A 12355-nucleotide genomic window follows, 5' to 3' on the forward strand; every position below is an offset into this window, starting at 1 on the left:
AATCTCTTAAGGCAGGGGCAACATGCTGCCATTCTCTTTGCTAAAACATGACAAGAGTCACCCTTGCTCCAGTTCCCAACAAGTTCCTCATCTCCATTTGAGACCACCTCAGCCTTGATTTCATTGTCCATATCATTATCAGTATTTTGGTTAAAGCCATTCAACAAGTCTCTAGGGAGTTCCAAACTTTCCCACATTTTCCTGTCTTCTCCTGAGCCCTCCAAACTGTCCCAACCCCTGTTAGCTAGTTTCAAAGTCACTTCCACATTTTCAGGTATCTACAGCAGCACCCCACTCCTGGTACCAATTTACTGTATTAGTCCATTTTCATGCTGCTAATAAAGACATACCCAAGACTGGATGATTTACAAAAGAAAGAGGTTTAATGGACTTACAGTTCCACATGGCTGGGGAGGCCTCATAATCATGGTGGAAGGCAAGGAGGAGCAAGCCATATCTTACATGGATGGCAGCAGGCAAAGAGAGAGAGCTTGTGCAGGGAAATCCTCTTTATAAAACCATCAGATCTTGTGAGACTTATTCACTATCACAAGAACAGCATGGGAAAGACCTGCCCCCATGATTCAACTACCTCCCACTGGGTACCTCCCACAACACGTGGGAACTCAAGAGGAAATGTGGGTGGGGACACAGTCAAACCATATCAGCATTTAACCAAGGAAGTTATGAACTTACGTCTACATAAAAACCTGCACATAAATGTTTATAGCAGCTTTATTCATAACTGCCAAAACCTGGAAGCAACCAAGATGTCCTTAAGTAGGTGAACGAATTAACAAATTGTGGTATATCCAGACAATGGAATATTATTTGGTGCTAACAAGAAATGAGCTATCAATCCCTTAAAGATATAAAGGAAACATACATGCAAATAATTAAGTGAAAGAAGCCATCTAAAAAGGCTACATACTGCAGGATTCCACCTGTATGACATTCTGGAATAGGCAAAGCTATGAAGATAGTAAAAAGATCAGTGGTTGCTAGAGGCTAGGGGGAGGAAAGGAAAGGCAGAGTGCATACAGAATCTTTAGGGCAGTGAAAAGACTGTATCATGTGGATACGTGTCACTATATATTTGTCCAATCCTATAGAGGGAACACAAATGTAAATTATGGACTTTGGGTGATTATGATGTGCCAACACAGGTTTATCAACTCTATCAAACATACCCTCTGCTGAGGGATGTTGATAATGGGGAAGGCTGTGTGTGTGTGGGCACAGGAGGCATACAGAAAATCTCTGTACCTTCTTCTTAATTTTGCTGTAAGCCTAAAACTGCTCTAAAAAATTAGTCTTAAAAACAAACAAAAAAGACTCATGAGTATTCAAAAGAATTAGAAGCAGGGTCTCAAAGAAATATATGCCTACTCATGTTCACAGTAGCATTATTCACGATAGCTAAAATGTGGAAGCAATGTGAGTGTCCAACGACAGATTAATAGATAAATAAAATGTGGTATATGCATACAATGAAATATTACTCAGCCTTAAAAAGGAAGAAAATTCTGACTTGTGCTACAACGTGGATGAACCATGATGACATTATGCTAAGTGAAATAAGCCAGTCACAAAATGACAAATATTGTAGAATTCTACTTATATGAGGTACCTACGTAGTTAAACTCATAGAGAAAGCAAGTAGCATAATGGTTGCCAAAGGCTAGAGGGAGGGGAGAATTAGTAGTTAATTGTTTAATGGGTATAGAGCAAGGGTATCCAATATTTTGGCTTCCCTGGGCCACACTGGAAGAAGAATTGTCTTGAGCCACACATAAAAATACTAACACTAACGATAGCTGATGAGCTAAAAAAAAAAAAAAAAAAAAAAAAAGGCAAAAAAATCTCATAGTTTTAAGAAAGTTTACAAATTTGTGTTGGGCTGCATTCAAAGCTGTCCTGGGCCACATGCAGCCTGCAGGTTGGACAGGCTTGGTACAAAGTTTCGATTGTGCAAGATGAAAAGAGTTCTGTAGATGGACAGTGGTGATAGTTGCACAATGTGAATACACCACTGAAATGCACATCTGAAAAATATTAAAACAGTAGATATAACGTATTTTACTAAAATAGAAAAATCGAAAAAAAAATTCACTTTCTTATTTTTTTCTGTCTGAAAAAGAGTAGCATTGGCTTGTATGTGCCTATAAGCCTTCTGGAGCAACATAATACATAAGAAACTAACCCAGGCTGTTAAGGGGGCGTGGGAGCTGGGCACATGGGAAAAGGAAGGGAGCATGACTTCACTGTATACTCCTCTCTAGGTTCTGAAACTTGTAAATAAATGACCTATTCAAAAACCTTAAACAAACGAAAACACTTCCCTGGATGCTACACCCTATCAAGCTACCACCTCTACTGCTCTGTGTCCTTCTTCATAACATACTTCCTGGTATGGTCTATTTCTTCAGCTCCCACTCATTTCAATCTACCATAATCTACTGTCCAACCCCTCGGGCAATGGAAAATGCTGGTTCTTTTCCAGCTAATCAATCACTCCCACTCTGCCAAATCCAACATGCACTTCTATGAGCTCATCTTGTAAGAATTCCACACGCTTGACTCTTCCCTCCTGGAAACCCAACTCCTCTGTGCTGTGCTGCCACCTTCTCCTGGTCTCTTCCCTCTCCACCGGCTGTCATGGCTCCTCCCTCTCTGCCAGACCTCTGAACATGGCAGAACCTAGAGCTCAGATGTCAGCCCTCTTCTCTTTGACCCCCTGCTTTAGATGTCACCTCCAGGCGTCAATCTCCCAAATGTGCATCTCTCACTTGATCTCCTCACTGAGGTCCAGAACTGCCCACAGAGCAACCCAGACTTACCCAAATAGAACACCGCGACCCATCCTCATGCCTGTTCCTCCCGAGTCTTCGCATCTCAGTACGTGGTACCACTGTCAACTCAGCTGCTTAATTCAAACTCAGCAAGGCAGCTTCCATTCAGCCACTTCTCTCATCCCCCATATCCAACCAAAGCACCAAGTCCTGCCAGCTCATCTTACAAAAGTGTCCTAAACCTGCCACTTATTTTCACCTTTATTACAAATACCCCTGTCCAAGCCCCCATGTGAATTTCCCTTGACTACTGCAGCAACATCCTAACTGCTGGTCCTGCTGCTTCCATTTCTGACCCTCTATAATTCATCCTTCTCCCAGAAGCAAAATCATTCTGTTAAATATCCTGTCAGTCCCCTGGTGGTGGTGGTGGGGGTCTGTAAGAAGCTCTGAATGGCCTTCTAATACTTTTACAAGATCTAAATTTGCCTGTGGCCTATAAGACCCTGCATGTTCTGGCTCTGAAATCTCAATTCCTATCACAGTGTTGTTCCCCTACTTGCCAGGCCCCAACCATAATGACCTTTCTCAGTTCCTAGAACTTTCTCACCTCATAGCCTTTGCACCTACTGTTTCCACGGCCTCCTTCCCCCTGATCCAGCTCCATCTCATCCTTCATGTTTTAGCTTACATATTACCCCTCAGAGAGAACATCTCCAAATGCCTCCTCTAAAATGTTTCCTCTGGCCTCTACCCACCCACTCCACCACACTGCCTACCTTACTGCTGCCAGAGCACTCATCACCATCAGCAGTCACCTTATTTATATTTATGACCTGTCTCCCCAGTTAGTATCTACCCTACTTGAGAGTAAGACTTGTGTCTACCTTAATGACATTGCAGGTGCTATGCTCACTACAGTGCCTGTCTCAGGAACAGGTTCTCAGTTCAAATTTGTTCAATCAATCAATAAAGATTAACTAATTAACGAATGAACCAATGACCTTCCAAAGCACTGGCTGGGCTTATCCAGGTCAGCCAGAGGCCCTAATCCAAGCAGGACTAAGGTGGTTTGCACTGGATTTCAACAATGGTGAAACACGTTTCTCCATCATTGTAAAATAACACATTCCTTTGGAAAAATACAAAGAAACTTGAAGTATTCAAACAATATCCTTGAGCCAACAGCACGCCTCAACATTTCAAGGCATATACACACATGCATACATACACACACACACACACACACACACACACACACACTCAATTTTTGGAGGTGAGGGAGGAAAAGATGGGGAACAAAAACACACATTTGGTGAGCCTCATGCAATTTTTTTTTTTTTTGAGACAGAGTTTCACTCTTGTTGCTCAGACTGGAGTGTAATGGCCTAATCTCGGCTCACTGCAACCTCCACCTCCCAGGTTCAAGCAATTCTCCTGCCTCAGCCTCCCAAGTAGCTGGGATTACAGGTGCATGCCAACATGCCCAGCAAATTTTTGTATTTTTAGTAGAGACAGGGTTTCACTATATGGGCCAGGCTGGTCTCGAACTCTTGACCTCAGATGATCCACCTGCCTCAGCCTCCCAAAGTGCTGGGATTACAGGCATGAGCCACCATGCCCAGTCTCTTTGCTTTTTTTAGAGATGGGGTCTCACTCTGTCACCCAGGCTGTAGTGCAATGGTGTGAGCACAGCTCACTGCAGCCTCAAACTCCTGGGCAATCAAGCCATCTGCCTGCCTCGGCCTCACAAAGCTCTAGGATTACAGGAGTGAGCCACTGTGCCCAGCCTCATAAAATTTTTAATAAAAGGCACATCATTCACTCCAGCCGATAATTCCCCAACATATTTTGGCTAAAGGCTGTACGCAGTGGCTCACGCCTGTAATCCAAGCACTTTGGGAGGCCAAGGCGGATGGATCACTAAGGCCAGGAGTTCGAGACCAGACTGGCCAACATGGTGAAACCTCGTCTCTACAAAAATTAGCCAGGCATGGTGGTCCACGCCTATAATCCCAGCTACTCAGGAGGCTGAGGTAAGAGAATTGCTTGAACTCAGGAGGTAGAAGGTGCAGTGAGCCAAGATCGCACCACTGCACTCTAAGCCTGGGCAATGAAGGAAGACCCTGCCTCCAGAAAAAAAAATTTTTTTTTTTTTTGGCTAAAATCGAAGGAGTCCCAAGGTAGGCCTAGATCACAACAGAGTGAACCTAGTAGTGTTCAGAAAAGGTTAGATTATCCGCCACAGAAATAAAATGAACGTTTCAAAATTTAAAACACAGGAATGTAAATGGTCCCAGTAAATAAAAAGAAGCCCCTAAAAATCCTTCCACTCTGCCAGAGCAGAGTAAGACCAACAAGGTCATATACCCGGCACACACGCTCTAGCTGTTCTTTCCCTCCTAATTCCCAGTGATCTTCTTAAAGCAGCTAGCAGACCTTACCATTGCATTGAGCTGGGAGTTGCTGGCCTGCGTAATGCCAAGAATGTTGGTGGTGTGCATCACTTCAACCGAAAAACTCGGCAGCCAGCTCGCAATCCGAGACCCTGAAACAAACAAGAATCCAGTGTAAGTTTCAGAGCCCTGACTCTTTCCCCCGTCATCTGCTCTCACGGTAGCCACTGTAATGGCTGGTGTTCACTGAGGGCTTCTTGTATGGCAGGCTTCTCATGCCAAGTGTTTCACGTGGACTAGCTCATTTAATCCTCACTACACTCCACATGGTACCTCCTATTATCATTCTTATAGTATCCTTCTCAAAGATATAGCACTAGTACCCTTGGTCTTTGGTCTCTGAGGCACTTAGAAGTTAGGGGACTTGTCCAAGATCACACAGTTTAACTATGATGGCCAAGATGTGAAGCCAGACAGGCAAGCTCTAGAACCCTTCACTGCTGAGCAATCCTGCTTTCCAGGGGGGCTGGATGCAGCCCAGCCCAGCGCCCTCACACGCTCAGCCTGGGAGATGAGGAAGCTTTTCAAGGCTCTAAAGCTTCTACAACACATGAGCTTTGGCTCCTCTTTCACAAGCTACACAAATGACTACTCACTTGGAGGCATTTTCACATTTACTTTTAGGAAGTATTTTTTCTTTAATCTTAAAAGCCGTGGTTTTCTGATTCAAAATTCTTTTTAAATTGTTCTATTCTACAAAAAGGCTTGTAGACTAACAGCACCAAGAAGTCTGCTGCTTCTGTTATTTCCCGAAGAAAACAGGAGCCTAAGATACAACAGCACCAAGAATTGGCTGTAAAACAACCCAATTATCAAGCTACACATTTAAGGCTGCTTTTCATTCCTTCACAAAGAAACACTGATGCATGGAACAGAAAATCAAGTGTGGCCAGGAGCAGTGGCTCACGCCTGTAATCCAGCACTTTGGGAGGCTAAGGCGGGCAGATCACAAGGTCAGGAGATCAAGACCATCTTAGCCAAAATGGTGAAACCCTGTCTCTACTAAAAATACAAAAATTAGCCAGGCATGGGGGCACGTGCCTGTAATCCCAGCTACTTGGGAGGCTGAGGCAGGAGAATCACTTGAACCAGGGAATCAGCGGTTGCATTGAGTTGAGATCACGCCACCGCACTCCAGCCTGGCAACAGGGCAAGACTCCATCTCAAAAAAAAAAAAAAAATCAAGTGGAATGGCTATCTCAAAGGTCTTGAGATGGGTACAAACAAAACGTACCCATTTAAGAAATGGATACTTATTTCATGTACTAACTAGGGAGAAATAAAGTTGACTTTATCTATTTTGACTAAATTTTTAGTAGTCATAATTCACAAAATAATGGATTACATAGCCAGGTCTCATCTCTAATATTGCTAGTATATTTCAGAAGTTTTACCTGGAAGAGCCCTTCATTCACAGCCACCAAACCAGGTCCTCTAAACCCCTCTAGCATTCTGGGCCCAGCCAGCCAAGTAGCCCCACCTACTCTTCTGGGAGACATGACTCTACTCCCCCTAGTCCCTTCTTTGAGGGATTTCACCAACACGACACCATCCCCACTGTACTCCATTCTTGAAACTCAAATCAGGGATGCGAATAGCACTACTGCTAACAAAATTCCAGGGATGCTTGTGTTACAGTAATAATTATAAACATGAACTCACAGAATTTAGCAGTACTGGACTGTTGAAAATCAACAGCAGCTTAATGTGAATTAAGGAAGGATGATCAACCAGACCTTGATATGTCATAGCCTTAGAATTTTAAGTGTGGTTTTCATTACAACTCCTTTTAACACTGCCGGGAGGCAGAACATTTATATTTTATGGACAAAGCAACAGGGTTCCAGCTCTGATTCTGCTTCTGGTACTCACCAGAAAGGCTTCTCAATGATCCTTCATTATATGCTTAAATGCTACACAAATGCAATATATTATTAGCAAAGGTTAACTATTGAGCTAATTAAGTGTGCTCCTTGAAGGCATGGTTGATTCAGTTTTACTCCTCCACCCTCCTGCCCCACCCTGCCCATATTGACATGGAATCAGGCAAAATGCCTGGAACCCCTCTGTTTGTTCTATCTCTATCCATCCATCCATCCATCCCACCTAAACACTTTCAATTAAAATTGAAATACAGTCAATGCGTAGCTTAACAACAGGGACACATTCTGAGAAATGTGTTGTTAGGTGATTTCATTGTTGTGCGAACATCATAGAGTATATTTACATAAACCTAAATGGTATAGCTTACTACACACCTAGGCTATACGATATAGTCTATTGTTCTAGGCTACAATCCTGTACAGCATGTTACTATACTGAATGCTGTAGAGGCAATTATAACACAGTGCTAAGTATTTGTGTATCTAAACATATCTAACAGAAAACATACAGTAAAAATATGGTACACAAAAAGTACACCTGCATAGGGCACTTACCAGGAATGAAGCTTGCATGATTAAGGCTGCTCTGGGTGAGTCAGTGAGTGGTGAAATGTGAAGGCCTAGGACATTACTGTGAACTCCTGCAGACTTTATAAACACTGTACACTTAGGCTACACTAAATTCATGACAAAATGTTTCTTTCTATATTCAATAAATTAAATTTAGCTTACTATAAGTTTTTTACTTCATAATCTTAATTTTTTTAACTTTTTGACTCTTGTAGTAACACTTAGCTTAAAATTCAAACACCCTGTACAGCTGTCGAAAATATTTTCTTTTTTATTCTATAAGAGTTTTTCTATTTCTAAAAGTTTTAATTTTACTTTTTAAATTTTTTTGGCTAAAAACTAAGATACAAACACACGCATTAGCCTAAGCCTACACAGGTCAGGAGCATCAGTATCACTGTCGACCACCTCCACCTCCTGTCCCACTGGAACGTCTTCAGGGGCAGTAACACGCATGGAGCTGTCATCTCCTAGAATAACAATACCTTATTTTGGAATACCTCCTGAAGGACCTGCCTGAGGCTGCTTTACAGTAAATTTTTTTTGTATGTAAGTATGAGTACACTTTAAAATAATGATAAAAACTGTAGTAAATACCAGACTACAGGAATTTTTTAGGTCCATTATCATCTTATGGGACCACTGCCATATATATGGTTTGCCATGGAGTGAAATGTCGTTATGGGGCACATGACTGTATAATATTAAACTGGTCTATACAGGGCAATTTATAACTAAAATAGTATCTGCTTAAGGGAGAACACCCCTTAGGTATAGTTTCAGAGGTTGAAACCAACTAACCATCGAAATGGAAGAAGTGATTGTGTTGGTTTAAGCGAGGTCTCCCTTCGGCTGCTGCTACAGGAACCAAATTCTCATCCAAGTTCTCTCCTTGATGTTCTTCCCTGACACGATTATTGTCGGCAATATTAAGAGACATTCTGCATGTTGGACAGGAGGTGTCTTGTTCTAGCCAGGAACGAAGACAGGAGCTACCAAAAAGTCCAAAAGAAGATACGTCAGCATCCTTGATTGTTCCTTAGCATACTTTGTGAGAATTCACCCAGAAGTACTCTGGATATATCAAATGTGCTCCAATTTGATTTTCTCTCTACCACTAGTGAGATTTAAGTGTTGAGAAGCATTTATGGACTTTACCTACTTGCCCTACTTCACTTTAATACACTTCCAGTGTGTCCTGCTGGGAACATGAATTCTTTACCATATGAAGTCATCTACCAAGCTCCTCGTTGTGACCCCTCTTCAATGGGGCTTCCTAGCATGGCTCACCATCTTCTCATCCAACTCCATTTGGCTACTTCAAAATCCATGTGGCTGAATCATCCAACACCCTGGCCTCTCATGTCCTTGAGTCCTCCACTCTGACGCTCATGTCTTTCACTCTGCTTTAGCTACCACCAGCACAGTCATCACCTTGGCTTGTCTTCAAAATCTTGATGTCAAAATTCTCACTCATTCACTCAAGCTCCTCTCCTTCCAACTCACTTATCTGGCACCAAACTTACTAAGACCTCCCATCTGCTTTCTCCTCAAGCATGACAGCCGTACAGGTCCTTACCTCCCTGTTCCCCTGGCTCACCTCTAACCTCTCCTCTCCATTCACCACCTCAATGTCCTCCACCCTCTTCTCTTTGCACGCTGTTTTCCCAACAAGGCCGAAGCTTCTTTTGCCCTCTCTCAGGAGATGATAATGCCTTAATTATGGTAGACATTCAATAAATACTTGAGGTGTCCATTAAAGAAAGGAAAGGGTACTAGAGTAAGAAGCAGAAAATGTGAGATCAGTCCCAATTCTCCCTCTAACTAGCTGTGTGATCCAGGCAAACCCTTCAACCTCTATTGACTAGTCCTCTCCACTAAAGAATGAAATGGCTGGATGAATTAATCTCCAAGGTCCCTCCCATTTTATGAGAATTTGTTATCTTTCTCTAAGGGCTCAAGTAGGCACTGAATAAAAATGCTGTATCTTCTTTTAAATATCTACGAACATGTGTAGATATAAAGTTATAAAGGAAAACCTCACCATAATATGATAATCCTCAGAGTCTCCAGCAACTAAATGGTACATAAGTAACAGGAGTTTCCTAGAGGCCAAGATGGAGCTACTTCTTAATCACTCTGTGTCATAAGAGTGTGTGACAGTCGTGTTCCAAAATAATGTCATCTGTCTGTATGTGTATACCCAACTCTCATATTTTGCAATAATTAAATACCTATAATTTGTATGTGATAATTTAGTCAAATAAATGATTTTTTTAAGTCCAATTCTCCTACTGACACCTTTAAATCACACCACTAGTATAATAAAATTAGCCTTGTGGGAGATTATAAAAATATGTAAGATCCTTGCCTTCCAATAATGCTACACTGTGACATACTTTTTATAAGCAAATCTAAATTTATTTCACAGAGTGCAAAATCCTCCCACATAAAATATAACAGCCTAAAAACTCCAAGGTGAGTACAACTAGTTAGATATAGTTTTCTGTTTAAAAAAAAAAAAAAATGCTAGAGTTCCTTAACTGAGAGAAATCAAACTTTAGAGAGAAAACAGATCTATTCACTGGACTCTGAAATGTTGCAAAAATATCCTCTACAGCAACAAATTATCTAGCTATTGTGCCTGCAGGAATATAGACATTACCTTTATCACAAATTAAAATGAATTTGCCTTAGATTCTCAGCACACAATCATTCCGGAAGTTACAAAGCAAAGCAAACCAAGAGCATATCCTAACAACTATTTGTTCACTCAACCCGAGGCAGATAAGTGTTTTAAAATTAAATCCTAACTCTTAAGCAACCACTGAGTAAAGAAGAAATCATGGGTTCCAAGATGGCCGAATAGGAACAGCTCCAGTCTACAGCTCCCAGCATGAGTGACGCAGAAGATGGGTGATTTCTGCATTTCCAACTGAGGTACCAGGTTCATCTCACTGGGGCTTGTCGGACAGTGGGTGCAGCGCACCGAGCATGAGCCGAAGCAGGGCAAGGCATCGCCTCACCCGGGAAGCGCAAGGGGTCAGGGAATTCCCCTTCATAGCCAAGCAAAGCTGTGACAGACTGCACCTGGAAAATCAGGTCACTCCCACCCTAATACTGTGCTTTTCCAATGGTCTTAGCAAATGGCACACCAGGAGATTATATCCTGCGTGTGGCTCGGAGGGTCCCATGCCCACGGCTCGGAGGGTCCCATGCCCACGGAGCCTCGCTCGTTGCTAGCACAGCAGTGTGTGATTGAACTGCAAGGTGGCAGCGAGGCTGGGGGAGGGGTGCCCACCATTGCTGAGGCTTGAGTAGGTAAACAAAGCAGCCGGGAAGCTCGAACTGAGTGGAGCCCACCGCACCTCAAGGAGGCCTGCCTATAGACTCCACCTCTGGGGGCAGGGCATAGCAGAACAAAAGGCAGCAGAAACCTCTGCAGACTTAAATGTCCCTGTCCGACAGCTTTGAAGAGAGTAGTCGTTCTCCCAGCATGGAGTTTGAGATCTGAGAATGGACAGACTGCCTCCTCAAGTGGGTCCCTGACCCCCGAGTAGCCTAACTGCGAGGCACCCCCCAGTAAGGGCAGACTGACACTTCACACGGCGGGGTACCCCTCTGAGACAAAACCTCCAGAGGAACCATCAGACAGCAACATTTGCTGTTCAGCAATATTCACTGTTCTGCAGCCTCCACTGCTGATACCCAGGCAAACAGGGTCTGAAGTGGACCTCCAGGAAACTCCAACAGACCTGCAGCTGAGGGTCCTGACTGTTAGGAGGAAAACTAACAAACAGAAAGGACATCCACACCAAAACCCCATCTGTACGTCACCATCATCAAAGACCAAAGGTAGATAAAACCACAAAGATGGGGAAAAACCAGAACAGAAAAACTGAAAATTCTAAAAATCAGAGTGCCTCTCCTCCTCCAAAGGAATGCAGCTCCTCACCAGCAACAGAACAAAGCTGGACAGAGAATGACTTTGACAAGTTGAGAGAAGAAGGCTTCAGACAATCAAACTTCTCCAAGCTAAAGGAGGAAGTTTGAACCCATCGCAAAGAAGTTAAAAACCTTGAAAAAAGATTAGACGAATGGCTAACTAGAATAACCAATGCAGAGAAGTCCTTAAAGGACCTGACGGAGCTGAAAACCATGGCACGAGAACTACGTGACGAATGCACAAGCTTCAGTAGCCAATTCCATCAACTGGAAGAAAGGGTATCAGTGATTGAAGATCAAATGAATGAAATGAAGCAAGAAGAGAAGTTTAGAGAAAAAGGAATAAAAAGAAGTGAACAAAGCCTCCAAGAAATATGGGACTATATGGAAAGACCAAATCTATGTCTGATTGGTGTACCTGAAAGTGACGGGGAGAATGGAATCAAGTTGGAAGACACTCTGCAGGATATTATCCAGAAGGACTTCCCCAACCTAGGAAGGCAAGCCAACATTCAGATTCAGGAAATACAGAGAATGCCACAAAGATACTCCTCGAGAAGAGCAACTCCAAGACACATAATTGTCAGATTCACCAAAGGTGAAATGAAGGAAAAAATGTTAAGGGCAGCAAGAGAGAAAGGTCGGGTTACCCACAAAGGGAAGCCCATCAGACTAACAGCTGATCTCTCAGCAGACACTCTACAAGCCA

General features: G+C 42.8%; 1 protein-coding gene across 4 annotated transcripts in view; it reads right to left on the bottom strand.

Moving 5' to 3' along the window:
- AMFR (autocrine motility factor receptor) overlaps positions 1-12355 on the bottom strand; it is a 64094-nt gene that overhangs the window by 19231 nt on the left and 32508 nt on the right. For 3 of the 4 annotated variants that reach the window (NM_001144.6, NM_001323511.2, XM_005255890.5), the window contains exons 9-10: positions 8503-8693; positions 5237-5340 (exon numbers count right to left, since the gene is read on the bottom strand). In NM_001144.6, coding sequence (NP_001135.3) covers positions 5237-5340; positions 8503-8693 — 295 coding nt within the window. Of the gene's footprint in view, positions 1-5236; positions 5341-8075; positions 8172-8502; positions 8694-12355 lie in introns of all 4 variants that reach the window. The other variant, NM_001323512.2, reaches the window with a different exon arrangement.

The sequence above is a fragment of the Homo sapiens genome, chromosome 16 (assembly GCF_000001405.40).
Source record: "Homo sapiens chromosome 16, GRCh38.p14 Primary Assembly".
Classification (NCBI taxonomy): domain Eukaryota; kingdom Metazoa; phylum Chordata; class Mammalia; order Primates; family Hominidae; genus Homo; species Homo sapiens.